This window comes from Homo sapiens, chromosome X (genome assembly GCF_000001405.40).
Source record: "Homo sapiens chromosome X, GRCh38.p14 Primary Assembly".
Taxonomy (NCBI): domain Eukaryota; kingdom Metazoa; phylum Chordata; class Mammalia; order Primates; family Hominidae; genus Homo; species Homo sapiens.
In genome coordinates, this window is record NC_000023.11 from 8,546,296 (window position 1) to 8,571,965 (window position 25,670).

The 25,670-nt window shown below is 38.7% G+C and overlaps 1 protein-coding gene across 2 annotated transcripts in view; it reads right to left on the reverse strand.

Annotated features, from left to right (window-relative positions):
• Positions 1 to 25,670, reverse strand: part of ANOS1 (anosmin 1) — a 203,264-nt gene that overhangs the window by 17,422 nt on the left and 160,172 nt on the right. Inside the window, exons 7-9 of one of the 2 annotated variants that reach the window (NM_000216.4) lie at positions 24,204 to 24,409; positions 21,937 to 22,081; positions 7,657 to 7,803 (exon numbers count right to left, since the gene is read on the reverse strand). In NM_000216.4, the coding sequence (NP_000207.2) occupies positions 7,657 to 7,803; positions 21,937 to 22,081; positions 24,204 to 24,409 (498 nt within the window). Of the gene's footprint in view, positions 1 to 7,656; positions 7,804 to 19,510; positions 19,918 to 21,936; positions 22,082 to 24,203; positions 24,410 to 25,670 lie in introns of those variants that run through there. The other variant, NM_001440775.1, reaches the window with a different exon arrangement.

Sequence of the window (25,670 nt, forward strand, 5' to 3'; positions counted from 1 at the left end):
CACATACTTTCCTCTTCATTGTTCTTTGGACTTCCCAAAGCTTTCTACCACTCCCTTCTATCATGTGTTCAACATCATGAGCTCTGCTACAATTTATATGTTCATTTGGCTTTCAGATTTAAAATAACAAGGGAAGTGGGAATGGATAAAATTTAAGAAAAAGGACTTTTTGGAAAATACGAAACTCTAATTAGAGCATGAGCTGTTCTCAGCTCCTAATAGTAAGTGTGTGTGTGATCCAGTGGAAATCAACTAACATTTGCAGATCCCCTGACAGTATAGTCAGTGGATTGACCATAGCTCCAGTCAAATCCACGATGCTATCACAGAGCTGCCTCCTGAGCTACAAGTATGTATTTCTGACTGCCTATGACATTTTCTGGCAATCATGTAGTTATCTCAAATTCGACACACCAAAACCAAATTCTCCATATCATGGAGACATATCCCATGAAACATATCATAATTCTACTGCTCACAATCTTTGTTAGTCGAAGTACTGTTAGTCATTCAAGCTAGAAGATAAACACTCCATTTAGATCCATTTCTCTTTTTCTCTTCAGGCAGGTCTTAATATCCAAGTGGCCATACATCCTGGCTTTCCTGGGAGAGTTACAGTCTATGTCTGTTGGTGGGGAATAATGTTTACAAATGCCTCCTTTTATTCTCAAATAAATCCCAGTTCAGACAATAAATTATGTGGTCACTTGTGTAATACTCTTACATAACTCGCCAACCTTCCTCCTCCTACTGCTGTCTCTAATTCATGATCTGATTATTTCTTGTCTTGGCTACTGAAATTAACCGACGTGCTCTCTCTGAACTTTTCCAATCCATATTCCTTGCACACTTGCTTTTGCTAACATCTCTAAGTCCTGCTCAGAATTTCCCCTGCTACTTCACATCCCTCTCCTCCATGTAGAACAAAATCCAAGCTTCCTGGCATACCATATAAGCTTCTCCATCACTTGACATTGATCTGTCTCTCCAGCCTCACACAGTCACTTCCTCAATCTCACCAATACTTGACATTCCCGATCTTTCTCCCAGCTGCACCTCTTCATGTCCTGGGCCAGAAGTGTTCATCTTCCCTGGCCAAAAAAAGTAATCCAGCCTTTAAAATGTACCTTAAACTTTACCTCCTCTGTGAAAATTCCTCTGCACACAACGTCAAAATCTCTCTGCTCTCAACTACTTCAGCTGTTTATCCAGACTGCTATGAAGAATAATGTCTTATTATGTGGCAACTGCCTAACTGCCTAAGCCTCAGAACTGCAGGTTCCTTAAAGGTAGGAAATCTCTCTTATCCGTTATTGTATTCCCATCACGTGGCACACAGCCTGGCATAAAGTCGGTAATTTGTGTCCATTTGCAAAAGAAGACAAAAAGTGAATGGAAATGCATTCATTGATATCTAAGTTAATTCAAAGGTGTTTTTTTTTGACGGTGTCTCGCTCTGTCACCCAGGCTGGAGTCAGTGGCGCGGTCTCGGCTCACTGCAACCTCTGCCTCCCGGGTTCAAGCGAATCTCCTGCCTCGGTCTCCCAAGTAGCTGGGACTACAGGCATGCACCCCCATGCCCGGCTAATTTTTGTATTTTTAGTAGAGACGGGGTTTCACCATATTGGCCAGACTGGTCTCAAATTCCTAACCTCATGATCCGCCCGCCTTGGCCTCCCAAAGTGCTGGGATTACAGGCGTGAGCCACCGCGCCTGGCCAATTCAAAGTTTTAAAACTTCACATTTTCAAATGAAAGTTGAACATACCATTTTTGGATGTATTAAAATACTCATCTAAAGACTCTTATTACTGTTTGCAATGTTTACTATATATCTAAAGGATTAACTTAAAAGAACAACCAGACCTTTCTTCCCGTTCTTTTTTTTCTATATTTCCTTTGTCACTTTAATTGAAAATGAAAAGATTCTGCCACCAGCTGTCAGACACAGGATTTGTGTAGGAAAATTAAGCTCTATTTGTTTTTACACCCTATTATTTTGGTAAAGGGCTTAGCGTACTCAGTAGAGTCATAAGTATTCTGTCTAGATATTTTTACACAATGTTCTTTTTAGATTCCAAACTGTTTGGGAGGATCTTCCTAAACAAGGTAAAAGCAAAATGCCAAATTCCATATTTTTGCCATTCTTTTGAAGGGAATCCATACCAAGTGTTTTCAAGAACTTCCTGTCACTTCAAAGAAAGTTTTAGCGTGAATATATAGAGAGGGCATGAGTTGAAATGGCAAGGAGCAGATGCATGGTCTACAAAAAAATCCACAGAACAAATCCTGACATGTCACTAAAGATGTAGAATGAATCTCTGTCTCTTGAGTAAGCAGTAACACTGTAACCACAATAGTTTTGACTGGAGGCTACACTGTCAACTGTTGAAGGCCACTGCACAGAACATTCTCTTTTAGAAATATATTTGAAATCAGTTATATCTTTGGAATCAAGGTTTTGGCCAGCCACAAAGAGTGTTCTCTGGCCAGCATGGATATGTACTTATTAGATGATGGCTTAATGTTGGTCTGTAGTAGGTAGCATTCCTGGAGGTTAACTCATTTCAGAGGCTGGAAATGGGTATGAAGAAAACAGTTTGAACACTAACTGACTGCGAGGCATTTCCATTAGTGAAACAAATCATTACTGACAAATAGAGGCTAGTTTACCTCCGTCACATGAGCTCATCACTCCCAGCTTCTCCTTTGTGGCCCAGGGTCCAAGTCACTAAACATCAATCAAGTCAGCATCACTTTTGGAACCCAAATCAAGGTCACTCCTTGCCTTTGGATCTTGTCCCTTTATCATCAAGTCCACAATTTCATGCATCGTAAACTGGATAATACTATGGACTCTAATATTGATTAATAAATATTGAGACAATTCTCTGCTTATGGTTTCTTTAAAGATTTCAGTATTTGAGAAAACCACTGATATTCTTCACATTTATTTCTAACTTTGAGTTATTCAAAGTAATACGTGTGTATATATGTGTACATGTGTGTATATGTGTACATATCTATGCCAACAACCATGTTTCCTATTTGTCATGCACTGAAATCATTATTGTATGGGAATATTGGTCATATTACTGCTTGCTGATACAGTGCAGTGAAGGTGAATCTCTTTTCTTCTGCCAAATTTAATAAGATGCCTAAGTTTTGTAGCACTTGTATTGCAAATTGGACAATTAAATCATGTCTTAAAGCACTGCTCTTTGTTGTTCACAAAGGAGAAAACATTGAGAGTCAGTCCTAAAGCAACACCAAGCCTTAAAAGGCTGGGCTCAGAGGCTCTTTACGTCTGTCCTGACATCCTGTCCTCTCTCTGCACTATAAGCAGTGCCGTAAGAATCCTCACACTGAAACACCTAAGGTGTCTCCTTTGTGCCAGGCACCGGTCCAACCAATCTGGATGTGTAATCTCATTTATTCCACACAACAGACCTAGGAGGTGATCTATAATGTTTCCTCTAGTTCATCATGTTAATAGAACAAAGAAGAAAAATGTATGATCATTTCACTAGATGAAGTAAGAATATTTGATAAAAACCAGTATCCATTAACAACAAAAACTTTGCAAGTAAGAAGAGTAGGGGATTGTATTAATCTGACCAGGGATGTCTTCAAAAACCTTACACTTAAACATCATGCCTAATAGTATCACTTTTAGTCACCATTGTACTGAAACTCTCAGCCAGTTTTAAGGCAAGGGAAAACTAAAACATCAAAGATATGGAAAGGAAAATATAAAATTCTCATTATTTACAAACTAGATGATGGTTTTTGTAGAAAAAATGCAAACAAATCATCAGAGAAAATGTTATAATTAACAAAGTGCTAAAACAATATTGCTGGATTCACAGTCAATATATGAATATAAAATATATTTATAATATACCAACAACAAAAATCAGAAAGTATAATTGAGGAAAAAGTATGCCATCTATAATAGGATAAAAATAAACACAAATACCTTGGAAAAATCATATTAAAAAGTATCATACTTTCTATCCAATATATTATAAAACATTGTTGAGACAAAAATTTTAAACCTGAATACAGTGGCATACCATGTTTGTAGATTGGAACACTCAGTATTTTTAAGATGCGAATTCTTCAAAATCATTGACACGTGGATGAATTCAATCTCCATAAATATCTCAGGAAGTTTTTGTGGAAATCGAAAAATTAATTCAAATATGTATATAAAAATGCAAAAGGCCAGGAATAGTTGAGACAATTTGATAAAGAAATAAAAACTAGAGGACTATCATTAGAAATATTTATAAATCTATAGTAGTTAAGACAGTAAGGTATTGTCACAACATTGCAAAAATATGTCAAAGACTCTATAGAAAGTCCAAAAATTAACTTGCACATATATGCATTATTTAGGGCAAATGAGGCACTGTAGAGCTTTGGGGAAAATAGTCATTTAAAAAATATATCATGATGTATCAGAGAAGGAGATCAGAAGGAAAAAAAAAAAAGAACACTGACCCTCTACAACAAAAATCAATTCTGGGTAAAAGAGCTTAAGAATAAAAGGTGATATGATTTGGCTATGTCCCCACCCAAATCTCATCTTGAATTGTAGCTCCCATAATCCCCACATGTCATGGGAGGAACCTGGTGGGAGGTAACTGAATCATGGGGACGAGGTTTTCCCATGTTGTTCTCATGATAGTGAGTAAGTCTCATGAGATCTGATGGTTTTATAAATTGCAGTTCTCCTGGACATGCTCTTTTGCCTACCACCACGTAAGGTATGCCTTTGCTCCTCCTTCACCTTCCGCAATGATTGTGAGGTCTCCCCAGCCATGTGGAACTGTGTGTCCATTAAACCTCTTTTTCCTTATAAATTACCCAGTCTCAGGTATTCATAGCAGTATGAAAGTGGACTAATACAAAAGATGAAACAGTGGACAAGAAGACAAGAAAGGAGAATATCTTTGTGACCTTTGTATGAAAAAGGATTTCCTAACCAGGACATAGAGAATACTAAACCTAAAGGAAACAAAATGATGAATTGCTTATCTCTAAAATTAAGAACCACTAAGGGCTGGGAGCAGTGCGCCTGTAATCCCAGCATTTTGGGAGGCTGAGGCAGGGAGATCACCTGAGGTCAGGAGTTCAAGACCAGCCTGGTCAACATGGTGAAACCCTGTCTCTACTGAAAATACAAAAAATTAGCCGGGCATGGCGGCAGCCACCTTTAATCGCAGCTACTCTGGAGGCTAAGATAGGAGAATCGCTTGAACCCAGGATGCGGACCAGCCTGGGCAACAAGAGTGAAACTCCATCAAAAAAAAAAAAACCCACTAAGAAGAAAGTTAAAAATGCAAGAGTGGATCAGAGTGGAAGAAAATACTTACATGAAAACAAATGATGGCTGGATACAGTGGCTCACGCCTATAATCCTAGCACTTTGGGAGGCCAAGGCAGGCAGATCACTTGAGATCAGGAGTTCAAGACCAGCCTGGCCAACATGGTGAAACCCCATATCTACTAAAAATACAAAAATTAGCTGGGCATGGTGGCACACGCCTATAATCCCAGCTATTCAGGAGGCTGAGGCGGGAGAATCGCTTGAACCTGGGAGGCGGAGGTTGCAGTGAGCTGAGATCGTGCCACTGCACCCCAGACTGGGCGACAGATCAAGACTGTGTCTCAACAAACAAACACCAAATGACTTGTATATACTATATTAAAAGCACTCATGCAGGACAGAGTAGCTAAAGAGTTGAAAGAGTCCTTCAAAAAAGAGAAATCCAATTGTCAGTAAAATTACAAAAAGGTGCTCAACTTCTTGGACATCAGAAAAATGCGAATTCAAATAACAATGAGGTATCACTATGAACATACCAGAAAGGGTAAACTTACAAAGATGGAAAATACCACATGACAGAGAGAATGTGGAGCACCTGGAACCATAATCATGCCCTACTGGTGAGAATGTAAATTGGTACAACCATTTTGGAAAACTATTAATGTTTTCTAAAGCTTGACATACTCTACGGCCTAAGAATCCCACCTCTATGGAAGAATATGCGTCAAACAACATGTGTTCGTGGGGCATTCACACTGGTACTATTCTTAATAGCTCCACATCTGAATAAGTAAATCTCCATCCACAGCTGAAAGGATACACAGATTGATGTATACTAAGGACATCCAGGCAGCAATATAAATGAATGAATTGTTTCATGCAACAGAATGCATTGGTTTCTCATAAAATGCTCATGGCAAGAAGCCAAATACAAATAGAAATTGAGTGATTCCATTCTGATAAATTTCAAATACAGGCAAAACAAATATTGAGTTTTAAAAGTCAGGATGGTGGTGGTTACTCTTGTATGCTTGAGATATTTACTTTTTCAATAGTAGATGTTTACATTTTCATTTTATTACATTATGTTTAAAATTTTAATATTAATAAAATGTTATTTTTTAAATATGAATATGTTGATATTTTAATTAATCAATATAATAGATCAAATACTTTTCTTATTTAATATTTATAAAATTATTAACTGTAATATAGACATAATATAATCTTAATGCAATAAATGTTGAATAAACTTTAATTAACATTATAGAAATAAAATATGTTAATATTAATAATAATATTATTTTACTTGCAGAATGGATTTCAGCAGCTTGAAAGAAAATCCTGGAATAGGAACCACTCCAACACCAATATTGCTTATGGCACATGGCCCATCAATACCTTGAGTAAAAGTGAATTTCAGAGGAGTGAGGAGAATTTTAAAAACCTAACTCTTGAAACAATCTATTCTGCTTATGTTTTTAAGAGGCATAAGAGTGATAAAGATAAAAGACTGTATGTTGAATAAATTCTAAAAGTACCACCTTGATAACAGAAAAACAAATATTCTAAGACTAAAAAAAAAAATAAACAAAAAGAATTTATGCTAAAGATAAATGTTCAAACAAATGAAATGAATCTATCCTAAGGATAAATGTATTGCAGCCTTAATTAGAAAACAGAAATTCTAAAGAACTGAAATGTTTCATTGTACTGGAATAATGACATGTATTATGATATTAAGATATACCCATACAAAGTAGCATTTATAGAATGTTATGAAAAATGCATGACAATATAGCAGCTCAAACAATGTTACACAGAAATATGTGTGTATGTTTTAAAAACACACTCACACACACACACCCTAACTGAGTGAAAGACAGATGCATAGAAAATTTCTGAAAGGAAACCCACCAAAGTGCTGTTTCAGGAAATGATATTGAGATAATAGGTGACTTTCCCCCCCTACTTTCTAAATTATTTGTATTATGGATCTTTAAAAAATAATAATTAATAATTTATAACAAAAATTACAGCTCAAAATAATGAATATTTTGAGTGTTTTGGATATAACATCAGCCAATCAGCCCTCTGGGAAAGAAATGAAGACAAGCTAATATCCCTGAAAGGAAAATATTTAAGCAATTGACTGTTGTAGATTTCAAGATGTGAGATAACCGTCAACTCATTCAGACTTGTGTTCAACAACCGTTTGCCTTAGTATTGATACTGTGGCTTGACATTTACTTCTTCAAAACTATCTCTATATTACTGTGCTGTTTAAAGCAAGTAAGAAATAAGTAAGTAATGTTTATGTACCTTCTGTCTTCTTCCAGTAGACTTTAACTTGCAGTTGGCCATCCTGATAGAAGGGAGCTCCGACTTCCAGCGGGCGAGTGGGTCGTCGTCTTTGAAAAGGGAGTTGTGTTTGAATTCCACCTTTTCTAGTTTTCACAAGCTGTTCTTCTACAACAAAGTACAACATTCTAAGTTACTTGTTAAAAGTAATTATAGATTCCTGGGCAAGATGGCCAAATAGGAACAGCTCCATTATGCAGCTTCCAGCGAGAACAACACAGAAGGCGGGTGATTTCTCTATTTCCAACGGAGGTACCGGCTCATCTCATTAGGACTGGTTAGACAGTGGGTGCAGCCCATGGAGGGCGAGCAGAAGCAGGGTGGGGCGTTGCCTCACCCAGGAAGCACAAGTGGTTGGAGAACTCCCTCCCCTAGCCAAGGGAAGCCGTGAGTGAGGGACAGTGCTATCCAGCACAGATAACTACGCTTTTCCCACTGTCTTCGCAATTGGCAGACCAGGAGATTCCCTCGGGTGCCTACACCGCCAGGCCCCTGAGTTTCAAGTGCAAAACTGGGAGGCCATTTGGGCAGACACAGAGCTGGCTACAGGAGTTTTTTTTTTTTTTTTTTTTTTTTTTTTGTTGTTGTTGTTGTTTTAGATGGAGTCTCGCTCTGTCGCCCAACAAAGATCAAAAGAGACAAAGAAGGGGAATATATAATGGTAAAGGGTTCAATGCAACAAGAAGAGCTAAAATAAATATATATGCCACCAATACAGGAGCATCCCGATTCATAAAGCGTGTTCTTAGAGACCTACAAAGACACTTAGACTCCCACACAATAATAGTGGGAGGTTTTAACACTCCATTGTCAATATTAGACAGATCAATGAGACAGAAAATTAACAAGAACATTCAGGACTTGAACTCAGCTCTGGACCAAGTGCACCTAATAGACATCTACAGAACTCTCCACCACAAATCAACAGAATATACATTCTTCTCAGCACCATATAGCACTTATTCTAAAATTGACCATGTAATTGGAAGTAAAATATTCCTCAGCAAATGCAAAAGAATGGAAATCATAACAAACAGTCTCTCAGACCACAGTGCAATCAAATTAGAACTCAGGATTAAGAAAGCCACTCAAAACCATACAACTACATGGAAACTGAACAATATGCTCCTGAATGACTACTGGGTAAATAATGAAATTCAGGCAGAAATAAATAAGTTTTTTGAAACCAATGAGAACAAAGACACAATGTACCAGAATCACTGGGACACAGCTAAAGCAGCGTTTAGAGGGAAATTTATAGCACGAAATGCCCACAGGAGAAAGCGGGGAAGATCTAAAATCGACACCCTAACATCACAATTAAAAGAACTGGAGAAGCAAGAGCAAACAAATTCAAAAGCCAGCAGAAGACAAGAAATAACTAAGATCAGAGGAGAACTGAAGGAGATAGAGACACAAAAAACCCTTCCAAAAATCAATGAATCCAGAAGCTGGTTTTTTGAAAACATTAACAAAACAGATAGACTACTAGCCAGACTAATAAAGAAGAAAAGAGAGAAGAATCAAATAGACACAATATTAAATGATAAAGGGGATATCACTAATGATCCCACAGAAGTACAAACTACCATCAGAGAATACTACAAACACCTCTATGCAAATAAACTAGAAAATCTAGAAGAAATGGATAAACTCCTGGACACATACACCCTCCCAAGACTAAACCAGGAAGAAGTTGAATCTCTGAATAATAGCCTACCAACCAAAAAAAGCCCAGGACCAGACAGATTCACAGCTGAATTGTACCAGAGATACAAACAGGAGCTGGTATCATTCCTTCTAAAACTATTCCAAACAATAGAAAAAGAGGGACTCCTCCCTAACTCATTTTATGAGGTCAGCATCATGCTGATACCAAAACCTGGCAGAGATACAACAAAAAAAGAAAATTTCAGGCCGATATCCCTGATGAACATTGATGTGAAAATCCTCAATAAAATACTGGCAAACCGAATCCAGCAGCACATCAGAAAGTTTATCCATCACGATCAAGTTGGCTTCATCCCTGGGATGCAAGGCTGGTTCAACATACACAATCCATCACATAAACAGAACCAATGACAAAAAACACATGATTATCTCAATAGATGCAGAAAAGGCCTTCAATAAAATTCAGCACCGCTTCATGCCTAAAAACTCTCAATAAACTAGGTATTGATGGAACGTATCTCAAAATAATAAGAGCTATTGATGACAAACCCACAGCCAATATCATACTGAATGGGGAAAAGCCAGAAGCATTCCCTTTGAAAACTGGCACAAGACAAGGATGCCCTCTCTCACCACTCCTATTCAACATAGTATTGGAAGTTCTGGCCAGGGCAATCAGGCAAGAGAAAGAAATAAAGGTATTCAAATAGGAAGAGAGGAAGTCAAATTGTCTCTGTTTGCAGATGACATGATTGTATATTTAGAAAACCCTATCATCTCAGCCCAAAATCTCCTTAAGCTGATAAGCAACTTCAGCAAAGTCTCAGGATACAAAATCAATGTGCAAAAATCACAAGCATTCCTATACACCAATAACAGACAGAGAGCCAAATCATGAGTGAACTCCCATTCACAGTTGCTACAAAGACAATAAAATACCTAGGAATCCAACTTACAAGGGCTGTGAAGGACCTCTTCAAGGAGAACTACAAACCACTGCTCAAGGAAATAAGAGAGGACACAAACAAATGGAAAAACATTCCATGCACATGGATAGGAAGAATCAATATCGTGAAAATGGACATACTACCCAAAGTAATTTATAGATTCAATGCTATTCCCATCAAGCTACCATTGACTTTCTTTACAGAATTAGAAAAAACTACTTTAAATTTTATATGGAACCAAAAAAGAGTCCATATAGCCAAGACAATCCTAAGCAAAAAGAACAAAGCTGGAGGCATCATGCTACCTGATTTCAAACTACACTACAAGGCTACAGTAACCAACACAGCATGGTACTGGTAACAAAACAGATATATAGACCAATGGAACAGAACAGAGGCCTCAGAAATAACACCACACATCTACAACCATCTGATCTTTGACAAACCTGACAAAAGCAATAAGGAAAGGATTCCCTATTTAATAAACGGTGCTGGGAAAACTGACTAGCCATATGCAGAAAACTGAAACTGGGTCCCTTCCTTTCACCTTATACAAAACTTAACTCAAGATGGATTAAAGATTTAAATGTTAGACCTAAAACCATAAAAACACTAGAAGAAAACCTAGGCAATACCATTCAGGACATAGGCATGGGCAAAGACTTCATGACTAAAACACCAAAAGCAATTGCAACAAAAGCCAAAGTTGACAAATGGGATCTAATTAAACTAAAGAGCTTCTGCACAGCAAAAGAAACTAGCATCAGAGTGAACAGGCAACTACAGAATGGGAGAAAATTTTTGCAATCTATCCATCTGTCAAAGGGCTAATAATATCCAGAATCTACAGGAAACAAATAAATTTACAAGAAAAAAACAAACAACTCCATCAAAAAGTGGGCAAAGGATATGAACAGACACTTCTCAAAAGAAGACATTTATGCGGCCAATAAACGTATGAAAAAAAGCTCACCATCACTGGTCATTAGAGAAATGCAAATCAAAACCACAATTAGATACCATCTCATGCCAGTTAGAATGGCGATCATTCAAAAGTCAGGAAACAACAGATGCTGGAGAGGATATGGAGAAATAGGAAGGCTTTTGCACTGTTGGTGGGAGTGTAAATTAGTTCAACCATTGTGGAAGACAGTGTGGCAATTCCTCAAGGATCTAGAACTAGAAATACCATTTGACCCAGCAATCTCATTATTGGATGTATACCCAAAGGATTTTAAATCATTCTACTATAAAACACATGCACACATATGTTTATTGCAGCACTATTCACAATAGCAAAGACTTGGTGCCAACCCAAATTCCCATCAATGATAGACTGGATAAAGAAAATGTGGCATACACACCATGGAATACTATGTAGCCATATAAAGGAATGAGTTCATGTCTTTTGCAGGGACATGGATGAAGCTGGAAACCACAATTCTCAGCAAACTAACGCAGGAACAGAAAACTAAACACCGAATGTTCTCACTCATAAGTGGGAGTTGAACAATGAGAACACATGAGCACAGGGAGGGGAACATCACACACCAGGGCCTGTTGGGGGTGGGGGGCAAGGGGAGGGACAGTGTTAGGAGAAATACCTAATGTAGATGACGAGTTGATGGGTGCAGCACACCACCATGGCACATGTATACCTATGTTAACAAACCTGCATGTTCTGCACATGTATCCCACAACTTCATTATTATATAACCTGATATTAGTCCCAGTGTACTTCATTTCATCCTGTTATTTAGTCATATTAACTGTCTGTTTTTTTTTTAAGTAAAAGGTGGTGTAACCGCATGTTCTTTCATGTTCAAGTTAATGAACCCCCCCTTCAAAATCCACTGGAATACTAAAAGTATATTACATATAATCCCCAGTATTTAATTTGGTAAGTAACATATATTCACCAGGCTTGAAAGATGCTCCAATGTAAATAATAAGTATGAATAATATTTCTCATTATAGATTTTTTATAGTTATGAGGAAAATAAAATAATATTACAATACCATTTCGTGAAAAAAGTAGATAGGTTTTCGTGGAAAACCTATACGTAATGTGGAAGTATGAGCATTATACATCAATACTTGGTGCAGGGCTCTAAACGGAAATACGGTTCAGCTTTGTCAAATAAATAGTAAGGAGCAAATTGCACCTACTCAGTTGACAATGCCAACTTCAGCTTCATCACTCAGCAACCAATCTGTGTGCCATTCAGATTAGTGACAGACATCCAAATTCTGACAGACATTGAAATGAAACTTTAAAATATCCAGTAAATGAAATGAAATGCAAAGGCAACAGTACATCAGGTTGGGTAATGGAATACAAGAACCCATTCAGTAATTAGCTCTTTCTGGCAGTAATTAGCTCTTTCTGTCAGCAATTCTGAGCACTTCCCAAGAGCCAGGCATTGAGCTAGGAGTTGCAGAGATAAAGTTTTTGTACCTGAGGGACTCCTGAAATACCACCAGGCAAATCTGCTCTAATGATGGTGCACCGGCAGTGAGCTTGACCAAAGGCATCTGCCCAGTAGAAGAGCATCAGTCTGACCAGCCACTGTTTCTGTTCTTCGAAAAAGTGGCCACAAGTTTTCTGAGGAATGGAGCCATGGGAATATAACTGGTGCCATGTGACGTGGTATTTTGTGAAGAAACCAGGACACTTCATGAAAGATGAGGCGAGAGTATGTTCACATGTTCATTATTAAAAGCATGAACTTTTTTTTCCCTATTGTCCATTAAAAGTGTATTCAACACATATTCGTTGCAACGTAGGACACCACAAAACTGAACAAGAAGGATTCCAAGCCCTACGTATCCCATATCCAGTGGAAGATAGAGATATGCTACTATAAATCAAAACACCATTAAATATATCTTTGAATCAGGTAGTTCAAGATTTCATTCTTAGCCTAGGTCATTTCTTACTGTGTTGTTGTGTAGAGTCATGATCTGACTCCAGTTTTAGTTTGCTTTTTATTATTTTGTTTTAATTTAGCTGTATCTTTCTCTCTTGTGCCATTCCTAATTCCCCAAACCTGCTGGTTTTCTTTGTATCTATAATTCTGATTGCTTTAGCTCAGAATGGACCAGCACTACTTGTTTCTGTCAACCTTCTTTGCCCATGAAAACTTCTCAGAGGCTCTCCCTGGTGAAGATTTTCCAGAGTGAATCAAAACACACCACTCTTTTGTGTTCCTGTATTTTTTCAGTTTTAAGTAATTTTTTTCTTCTTTAATTTGTTCCTCAAACTCAACCCAGAAGTCCTCTACAAAACAGAGCTCATCCTAATCTTCCTTGGATGGCAACTGCCTAGCTCAGAAACACGCACATGGTAGCTGCCTAATATGTATTGGATGAAATGAAATAAATAAAATTATGAATTGATGGCTGTTTATACCAAATATATTACCAAATGCTCATTTGCCTGGGGCTATTCGGGGTGTTTTATTTACGTCAATACAGTAATCCTTTAACATGAGATTCAAACATGTTGCAGAAAGGGCAATAAACCTAATATTTGTTTTTCTTTGGAAACAGGGTTTCCCACCATTGCCCAGATTGGTCTCAAACTTCTGGCTCAAGTGATCCTCCCACCTGAGCCCCCTAAGTAGTTAGCAGTATAGGTACATGCCACTAAACCTCACTTTTGACTCCAGGTGTGTTCCTGGGGGGCTTGGTTGGGGTGGTGAATTTTGACACTAATTTATATTCATAGAGCCATCCTATGAAATTAAGCAGGGGTCAGTAAACTAAACTTTTCTTAAATGGCCAGATAGTAAATATTTTTGGTTCTGTGCATCATATGGTAAATGATTTTGGTTTTGCAGACTGGTCTCTCTCCCAACTACTCAATTACTGTTGTACCCCCCAAACAGCCGGACATGATATATAAATGACATGTAAGCAAATGTGACCCTGTGCCAATAAAGTCTTATTTACAAAACCAGGAGGGGGCTGGATTTGGCCTGTGGGCCATAGTTTGCAGACCCCTGAGAAAGAGGAATTGGTATACACTGAAGACGAAAAAACCAGCGCTCAAAAATACTAAGAATTGTATCCAGTTTCACATAATTCAAAGAGTGAAGGTGAAATTTAATCCCAGGGCCATCCCATGCCAAACTTCTGTTTCCATCACCATGTACTGAGTCTTACAGAGCACCCATTTATATGGTTTAATAATTAAGACACCAAAAATTTCCTTAGGCCCCAAATTTCTCCCTCATCCACTCACTGAATTTAGAGGTTGCATACATAGAAATTCTGCCCTTTGATGCAAGACTTTTCTGCTTTCTGAATTTCAAATAGCCCTCTGAGAGATAAAAGGGTAAGCTGTGTTGATTTTATGCCTATAAACAATGTGTTATCGAAACTCTTCTAATAAAAGCAGTGAGGTTTGCATTCTTGGGCAGGTGAGAGGAAGACAGAAAGATGAGATGGAGAGAACATGCCCAACCTGCGGTAAGACAAGATCAGTCAAGGAAAGCTGTGGACCCCAGAAGATAATCTACATCAACTCAATTTTTCCTGACACTGGCATGCCCAATGAATTGTCTATCCAACGGACCAGATGAAAGGAAAATAAAAACGCACATTTGTTAGATTCGCATTTAGGCTATTTTAGCTTAAAGAGTTCAAATCAATGTGTGGATAACTGAGAATCATTTATTTTATTTTATTTTATTTTAATTTTTTTTGAGACGGAGTCTCGCTTTGTCACCCAGGCTCGAGTGCAGTGGTGCGATCTCGGCTCACTGCAAGCTCTGCCTCCCGAGTTCATGCCATTCTCCTGCCTCAGCCTCCAGAGTAGCTGGGACTACAGGCGCTCACCACCATGCCCGGCTAATTTTTTTTTTTTTTTTTTTTTTGTATTTTTAGTAGAGATGGGGTTTCACCATGTTAGCCAGGATGGTCTCGATCTCCTGACCTTGTGATCCACCCGACTCGGCCTCCCAAAGTGCTGGGATTACAGGCGTGAGCCACCGCGCCCAGCCGGCTAATTTTTTTTAAGAGACACAGTCTCACTATGTTGCCCAGGCTGGTTTCCAACTCCTGGCCTCAAGCAATCCTCCCACCTTGACCTCCCAAATTGCTGGGATTATAGGCATGAGCTACTGTGCCCAGCCAGGATCTAAGAGTTTCACAAACCCATTTATGTTTCTAATAATCTGTGATAATATTGAGAACTCACCAGCAGATAACTAGGACAGATAATCAGTTTAGATAGATACTGTGTTTAGATACTAGGTTTAAGCTCAATGTCAATCTTGTCTTCCTACTTGCTTTATATCCTAGGCAAACTTTTTCTTTCTTTCTTTCTTTTTTTTGTTTTTTAAACAGAGTCTCACTCTGTCGCCCAAGCTGTAGTGGAGTGCACTGGCATGATCTCGGCTCACTGCAACCTCCGCCTCCCGGGTTCAAGCCATTCTCGTGCCTCAGCCTCCTGAGTAGCTGGGACTACAGGCACGCATCACCATGGCCGGCTAATTTTTGTATTTTTAGTAGAGATGGGGTTTTACCATGTTGGCCAGGCTGGTCTTGAACTCCTGACCTCAAGTGATCTGCCCATCTTGGCCTCCCAAAGTGCTGGGATTACAGGCGTGAGCTACCGCGCCCAGCCCTAGGCAAACTTTAGTATTTAATTATAGATGTAAAAACATATTTTTATATATCTTAAGATTGAACCATTGTTGCTTTATTAAAATGATTCAAGAAGAGAAATCCACCAACAATTAGTGTTGCTGACACACGCCATGGGTAAAAAACAGATAAGGTGCATACTACAATGCTAGCAGTATGACCCTGACTTTATAAGAATGTCTCCTCCACTTTCAGTAATAAGCAAAAATGGAATATCATATCTACAATATTCTGAAAAAGTTATGATGTCTGATTTACACTCGATAGTCATAGAAATTAAGAAAATAAAATATGTACACTATTTTTCAAAGATCCAAGTTTTGATTAATTTTATAGATCATCAAGAGATTCAGAGTATTTTCTCTCCCATCTATTCTTGTTCTGGAGAGCCAGAAAATAATTCCAGTTCCATGAGGCAACTATAAAACATTTGGAACCTGTCAAACTTGAAAATATTCCTCCTGCCTTCAAAGAAGCAAGCTACCTTTCCATTAAAGACAATGTTATATCATACTTCCTTCAAGGGATTGTTTCATAAAACTGCATGAACATTCAGCCTTCACTTGAATAGAAATGTTTATCATTAAAACACCTAGCAGCCTGCAGACCTGGAAAAATATAATTCAAAAAGTAATTTATATAGTGACATTTACTACTCTCCTTCCTATAAAATGTAATTTCCCTTGCTTATACTGTAACGTTGTAATTATTCTTTACTTCTAGTTGGTTCATGATGAAATATATAATGTTCTTATAAAAGTCACAGACTAGTGTTTATGAGATTATATATCAACACTGGGATATAAAATCCTGACAAACATTCAACTGTATCCTACATAATCCGTTGAAAAGTCAATCTCTTCTGTGGAATCACCTGAGACCCAAACAATGTGTGTTACTATAGGTACTTTGCACTATGACTTCTTTTTTCTTACTTTTCTTTTATTCCTTTTCTAATCTATGTAAGAGGAATCAGTCCTGAGAATAAAGTGGTCTTTGATAGGTTAACTACCATATCTCTTAATTAACTACCCTATCTTTTAATTGGTCAGCTAAAGTATTACCTAGTTTTAAAAGATAATTAGCAAAGGACCTTAACACAGGGAATCAACCGGTCAAATAGATTTCTTTCATTTAACTGCCTGTTTTGTTCATTTAACTGCCATAATTCTAGTGTCTCCCCACCTGGCTAAAAACTCTCACTGGTAAAGATAATTCCTTTGGAATAGTCAACCAAGTGAAAACACAAACTCTTGGAGGACACAGTTAAAATATGCAAATGGCTTGTAAAAGATGTCCAACCTTGGTTGTTCCAAGATGACACCAAAAGCCATTTCTTTCTCTCTTCCCCTTTAGTATTTATGACCGTAGCAGATGAAAGCTTAAGAAAGCTGTCGTGTTAGAGTGTGGCACAGAGCTGGTTGAATGGAAAGACAGTTGCATTCAGCTGAGTTGCAGTCAATTTACTGAGCTCTTACTATGTTCCTGGAAAATTCAAGAAACCTGTGGGTCCTGAAATAATTGCAGGACCTAGAAACAAACTGAAGTGAACAGAAAGTGGTAAAAGGAAGTCTCCCAAGTTTCTGGTCAGTAGTAACCTCAATGGAGACCAGAGATACATGAGAACATCGAGCTTTGTAAGTGGAGGGAGTGAGTTCAATGTGGAGTATGTTGAGGTTGAGATGCCTGTGTGACATTCAGATACAGGGAATGACAGGCTACAGACATCTGGTATTAGTGGAGAAATCAAGGCTGGAGCTGAGTCATTGAGAATGGACCATGAGTAGGTAGTGACTAAGTTGTCAGAGCAGATAAGGTAGAACCCTGGAGAGCTCCAATGTCCAAGAGCCGGATGGAGGCAGGAGATCCTACAAGGAAACTGAGGTATGAGAAAAATTAAGACATCTGGGAGTCAAACATACAAGGGTCAAGATGTAACAATGGGGAAAGTGTAGTTAAACAAGGACAAACTCATCAGAAATGGTCAATAAAATTACAATGGAAAACATCCATCAGACTTAGAAATTAGCAGGGGCAGATTTGGTGGAAAAGTGAGATTGAAAAATAGATTGCAGAAACTTGAGAAAAAATGTGGAAAGGAGAAAGATAAGATGGTAGCTAGAATGAAACCAGCATCAATGAAAGGTTTGCTTTAGAACTGGAAGCTGAGCAGATCAAGCCAGTGGAGAGGAATAGGCTGAGGTTGTAGGCAAATGAGGGAATAACTAATTAACTTGGTTTCAAAAATATTTTTGTTGCCGTGTTTATATGCCAGGGATTATGACGGATACTGTGACCACATATGTAGATAATCCATGGTCTCTGATGTAGATGAGATTTGACTTCAGTGGATGCAGGTATCTGAGTTGGGGAGGAATGGGTCTAGAAACTGCATGGTGAAGTCCACCACATGCAGAAGGAAGGGTGCCTCCACCTTAGAATACAGAAGACAGGAGAAGATAAACATGGACATAAGAATAGATATGTTTATATTTATGGGGAACCGCATGGCTTACTGAGAGGAAGGGATTTAGACTAGACTGTGTACTCCATGTAATAGATATGTTTATATTTATGGGGAACCGCATGGCTTACTGAGAGGAAGGGATTTAGGGACTGTGCACTCCATGTGCAATGTGGCTCAAAGGAGAGAAAAAGGTTTATAATCATACTTGAGAGGGTAGCAGAAGAAGCTAATTAAAGAATATCTCCCTGAGTTACAGGGTTGTGTGGGGATGCCCCAGGAAGGGTGAAGAAGCTGTGGATATGCTACAGAGATCCAGGGTTCCATAAAAGTTTTGTCTGTGGGCTGGACCATGACAAGGCTCTAGATAATGTAACCTCAACAAGGACAAGTTGAAGTCGGACTTTTTTTCTCCTTGCTTTTGGTTCTGGAAATTAACAGATATTAAATTATGGGAATTTGCAATCCCATACCAGTTTCTAATGGGGAAAGAATGTTGTTTATTGGAAGAACCAGGAGACTAAAAGACATGCTTATTTTATACAATAGATGAAATCTCCACCACCAGTAGAGAAAGACAGCTCTTGCATGAAGCTGAAGTTTAAAGGATTTTGGCCTGAGAAGGGGGTTGGTAAGGAATATAGAAGAATATAGTGAAGGATGAAGTTTTGGGGAAAGAGAGAATTGAAGATAACTAGGTAGCTGTCTTGAGAGTGGAACTCCAAAAAGAGAGAGATCTGTAACTACGCTGATATTTTCTAAAGAAAACTTTGACTGCTCTTTACAAAGAATAGATATTTAAGAAAGAGCAGAAACATAATACTAATTAGGAGACTATTTCAATTTATAGGAAAGAAAAGACAATAGCGTGAACAAGCGAAAGAACTGGACAGATTCCATATGGAATTTAAAATTAGAGACAAAAGGACTTTCTGAAGAATTGAATTTCTGGAGAGAAAAAACAGAGAAAAATGAAGAATGACTTCTGCATGTTTGGCTTGAGCAAAAGGGTGAATGTTGGTGCCATTTACTGAGATAGGCGAGCCCAGGAGAGGAACAGGTATGGGCGAAAATCCAGAGCTTGTGTTTGAACGTTTTATTTGAAATATCTGCAAGCCATCCAAGGGGAGGTGCTAAGTGGGTGGCTGAATGCAGGACTCTGGAGTTCAAAGAGTGGTCAGGGTGGGAGGGCAGGGAGTCATTAGCACACAGATGGTGGTTAAATCCTTGCAACTCAATGAGACCTCCAGGGGAGAGACCAGTGGCCCATCCACCTTCATTCTTTCCTCACGCTGAGTTCTCTGCCCATGCAATGCGCTTCTCTAACTCTCTACACTCATCCACGCTGCTGCGTTTGTGTGGAATGATGTCCATTCCTTGTGGGCCTGCAGATCGCTCACTCTTCAGGACTTCATGAGGGATGATGTGACTCTCATTCCCCAACTCCATGTTGGTCATTTCTGCTTCCACTGTTTCCTGTAGTTCTGTCTGTATGCAACACACAGATCTTTGTTATTATTTTACATATTTATCTCCCAAATTCAAAATTAGGCACTTTTAAGGCAGAAACCAAAATACATCATCGTGCTAGGAATAATGTATGTGTGTGTATATATGTGTGTGTGTGTGTGTGTATGAGTATGTATGTGTGTATAGTTATGTGCGTGTTTGTGTATATTTGTAGACACATGTGTATATGTATGCATATGTGTACATATATACCTATGTGCATACTATTTATAGAAAATTATGGAACATATTGCTATACAGTACGTATATATAGTGTATATAGTGTATTACAGTATATAGTGTATATATAATATAGTATTCCTGGCATTAGACACAGTGATGTCATAATTCATAGGCACACAATTTCAATGCGATGGGTAGATGGATGAATGGATTAAAAATGAATGAGGTTACTAAACATATTTCCATGAGAACTTTTAGGTAAAATTTATATTGTACCGAGACTCACATAAAAATTGACCATTTCAAGTCCATTTAATCTCCAAAGAGACTATTTCTCAAACAGATAGAAATCTCTGTTTCTGGACCATTTTTTGAAGCATTATTTCAAACAAACCTGCCCATTTGGATCCTACGTTTTCCCAGGGGTGGAAGGTAATTATGAGCAACCCCTGTGTCTCACTCTGCAGGACCAGCATTGCCTTTCCTAAATTCAGACAAATGTTTAACACATTCTTCTTCTCCTTCTGAACAAGGCCCACTGTCCTGATCAAAGGCAGCTATGATGACGGGGTCCTGCTAGCCTAAAAAATCAACATCGGAGGAGCCCCTGCGACAAACGCCTCCTCCCTCCTACTCTCATTTAATTTGTCCCAGTTTCCTGAAACCTTGCTAGGAGCCCCTGCATGGCAGTTCTAACCGGTATCGACGTTTGAACAAAGCCAGAAACATCAAGTAACTTATTCTCTAAGATATGAGTGTCATATAAGAAAGACTCTTCTATTGTTTTGCTCAGTTCCCAGCAAACATACTAACATACTAGGTAAGAAAAAAAGAAACAAGGAAAAGCAATATGAGAATGATTTAGTAACTTCACTCAATGGAGTATTAAGTAACCTTTCAAGCAGTAATTATGACCACTGTGTAGTACTAGGAAAAACAGGCATGCCACACCACTTTTTGTGCCCCCTATCCACTCGCGTACATACAAACACATTATTCTCAGTACTATGATTTATTTTGGTCTCTGCCTTCAAAAGTGCCCAACTTTGATTTGGGAGATAAATATGTAAAACAATTGCACAAAAATAAGTGTATTGTATACAGAACTAGAGAAACACTGTAATCCCAGCACTTTGGGAGGCCGAGGCAGGTGGACCACCTGAGGTCAGGAGCTCGAGGCCAGCCTGGCCAACATGGTGAAACCCTGTCTCTACTAAAAATACAGAAATTAGCCAGGCATGGTGGTGCACGCCTGTAATCCCAGCTACTCAGGAGACTGAGGCAGGAGAACCGCTTGAACCCGGGAGGCAAAGGTTGCAGTGAGCTGAGATCACGCCATTGCACTCCAGCCTGGGTGACAGAGCTAGACTCTGTCTCAAAAATACCAAACAAAACAAAACAAAACAAAACAACAACAACAACAATTACAGAAACAGTGGAAGCAGAAATAACATCAAGTTATAACAGTTTAACTGTACGTAATCTCCTGAAAAACAAGTATGCAGAATGCATATGTGCACGTCATGTAAACATAAAAACAGTCAATCTGTTAAAATGAGACACAATAAGTTTTCTTAAATTTCCATTACAACACCAAAATTGCACCTACAATAGATAAAAACCATAAGAAAGAATTCAAAAGTCAAACTGTTTCGTATGTCGTAGTTTAAATACTTTAGTCACATGCATGTGGGTAAGAAGATTTGCCATATAATTATTCCAAATCAAAAACTCACTCTCCCTCCATTGTGCCTTGTTGTGATATGGCGCCCATCATGTCACAATCATCTTGAAAAACATGACACAGTCACTTACTGTTGTTGGTTGCATGTGTCGATGTGAAGTGAAGGGACACCTTTGCACTCTTCAGCCGTGTCTGTCCCCAGTACGTTATGGCTTGCAATTCCACAACATAGTCACAGTCTGGCTGGAGTTTCTCCAGGATCACAGAATTTTGAAACTAGAAATTAAGAGAATATACCCAAAATGCGTTACAAACCTTCCACGTCTCTCATCTTCATTGCAAAATCTCGTGTGTCATTATGAAGCATGCCAACTTCTGATTTCTTTTACCAACTTTTCTATATCTTTGGGATCTGAAAATTCAGTTTTACTACTGATCAAAATAAACTTCAGGCCAGGTGCGGTGGCTCCTGACTGCAATCCCAGCACTTTGGGAGCCCGAGGTGGGAGGATCGCTTGAGCCCAGGAGTTTGAGACTACCTGGGCAACATAGCAAGACTGTCTCTACAAAAAAAATTAATTGGGCATGGTGGTGTGCACTTGTAGTTCCAGCTACTCAGGAGGCTGAGGTGAGAAGATTGAACCCAGGAGGTTGTGGCTGCAGTGAGCTGTGATCGCACCACTGCACTCCAGCCTGGGCAACAGAGTGAGACCCTGTCTCAAAAAATATAATGAAATAAAAAATAAAAATAAACTTCATAGAAAGGCCAAATGTATTTTGAAATACTGTTTCTAAACCAATTATTGGTCTCAGATACCATGGAAATAAATCATTCTGAGCCCTCGCCACTCTGAGACACCACCTCTCGAAGGAAAGGGAGCTGTTTATAATAAAGTAACAGAGATCTATGTTGCCACATACATGGAAAAATTATGAATTGGCACTAATTGCAATTCTTTGATATCTGTTCTAAATTTTCTAGGAGCAAATTTCCACCAAAAGCTATACAAAAGAAAAATTAACTTGACAAAATGCTTCAAGGTGCTTCATTATTTTCTGTCATAATGTATTGGGCAGGGGGCTGGAGGGTGGGACCTGTCAGCATTTCATCATGTCACTTTTTGCTCTAGATTCCTAAGTGATTCCCCAATTTCAGCTCTTCCAGCTCATGCAATAAGTGTGCACTACCATTATCATTTGTAGCAAAATCCTTCAATATAAAAAATGGAACTGTCATAAAATTTCATAAAAATAAAGTGGGGCTGGGCGTGGTGGCTCACGCCTGTAATCCCAGCACTTTGGGAGGCCAAGGTGGGCGGATCACGAGGTCAGGAGATAGAGATCATCCTGGCTAACATGGTGAAACCCTGTCTCTACTAAAAATACAAAAAATTAGCTGGGTGTGGTGGCGGGCGCCTGTAGTCCCAGCTACTCGGGAGGCTGAGGCAGGAGAATGGCGTGAACCCGGGAGGCGGAGCTTGCAGTGAGCCGAGATTGCTCCACTGCACTCCAGTCTGAGAGACAGAGCGAGACTCCCTCTCAAAAATAAATAAATAAAGTTAAAATAGTATAATGGCTAAATATCAATGATACCAACTTTTTGAGGCATGTTTTATAATTCTGAAGAGCACAGATATTGAAATCTTTAGCCTTGCTATCTTTTCATTTCTAAACATTTATTTATGGAATTCAACTTTATAAGTGATAGGAAAAGGTATTTATGTAAATTTTATGACAAGATAAAGGAATGTATACTAAAAGGAATCCAAATAACTATTTTTATGCAGTAAGCATTTCAAATAATACAAGATGCTTGTTATCATAAGAATCTCATTGCAGAAAATGGTTCAATGAAGATTTTATTTCTTGGCATCTGACGGATAAACCACTCCAGATCCTTTTAATCAATGAGAAGAACATATTGTGAGACGTGGCCTTCCTAAGCTGTTACTGCTCAGTGATTAGATTACAGACGGAAACACTTCGCAACAGAAAAGCCATGAACATCCACTCTTCCATTTACAAGGATCTCTCTCTCTCAAAAAAAAAAAAAAAAAACTTAAAAGTAAAGTACATTTTGCATAATATCATTTTCTATGGCCAGACAGGTAAGATGGGGATCATTTAAACTGTTCCTTTGATTTCCAGAGTTCTGACTGACATTTAGATAGGAGTAGGTCAATGGTCTAAATGCAAATGCTTCTGCCTAAAATATAAAAGGCAAAACAGCCGGCATGCCCCTGCATTCTGTGAACTTCCTCGGTAGAAATGAATGGGAGGGAAGCTTTCCTGCATCCATGGCATCTCTCAGTTTAGCAGAGGCCTCTTTTCAGGCCAGTTGCCTTGAGTTGAAATACCCTCTGTGGGAATAACAATCCTTCCTCCAGTTCCCACTCACCCCATCCGTAGTCTTTCTCCGCTTCTTCTTTGTTGGGACAAGAGACTTACTGCTGACCATCCAGCTCCAAAAGACCTTGTAATGATGCACAGGGATGTCCGGCTCCTCGGGGAGATCCCAAACTATAGTGACGGTCACACTCCCATCACTGTTGACGGTGGAGTTGGCCAGCCGGAGGTTAGCCGGTGCTGGTGGGGCAGATGGATCTGAAATCCCAGTACAAAGACACATCATATGACTCCACAAAACTAACATCTTTGGACATGTAATGACTACATGGTCAACACGTGAAGCATTGCTTTTTATAGATAGAAAAGCTGAAAACGGGGGTGGAGGGGCATGGTGGCTCATGTCTGCAATCCCAGCACTTTGCAAGGCTGAGGCTGGCAGATATCTTGAGCTCAGGAGTTTGAGGACAGCCTGGGCAACATAGTGAAACCCTGTCTCTACAAAATTTAAAAAATTAGCTGGGCAGGGTGGTGCATGCCTGTGGTCCCAGCTACTCAGGAAGCTGAGGCGGAAGGAGCGCTTGAACCCGGGAGGTCAAGGCTGCAGTGAGCCGCGATTAGCACCACTGCATACCAGCCTGCGCAAGAGAATGAGACACTGTCTCAAAAAAAAAAAAAAAAAGTAAAAGAAAGGCAAAGCTGAAAACAAGCAGTTAAGTAAGATCTCCTTGTTAAGCCTCAAATTAAAAGATAGAGTATTAAACAGTAAGATAAATTTGTTTGGTCCAAATTTGTAATACAGAAGGATCGTTTTAGGCATTTCCATACCACGGCAACCCAGCCAAATTTTTACTGTGCTGAAATTGACATATTTTAGTAAAATATAGTACAATTCAATGTGGGTGAATTGACATTAAATAGGTAAGCAACAAAGAATCACCTTTTAACACTCTGAAAAGAAAAAGAAATTCAGCTCATAAAAGCAATTGTTTTCATCTTCGTGCCCTGTAGCTAGCAATTCTTGCATCAGTTAAGAACAATAAAGGGAAATCAGAAAAGAAAAAAAATATAAAAACCTGCACCATTTTTTATCCACATTGCACACTGGATGACTTATGGATAGCATTCATTTTTGTGATTGTACCATTTCTGGTTTGTCTTATTAACAAAAACCTTCTCAGCTGTCAAGAGAAAGATGAGGTGCTGGAATTACCACCTCACAAATCTCCACTGAAAATACATATATGAAGAAGATTAAATATACCAAAGCTGGAGGGTCTTTACTTCATTTTCTATTACAAATTGAGCAAGTGGAGATGCTGCTCACCACCAGTGATTTACAGAGGGTTTCATTTCAAGATGCCATCACGGGAAGATGCTGTCAATAATTCTAATTATAGCACCATCTGTGTTGGAGGCTCAAAAAAGTAATATCTAACTTGATATACATGAAGAAGACTGGAGAAAAAAAATCCTTGTTTTTATTCTCAGTCATTTGTGGTTTTGGAATGATGGAAAC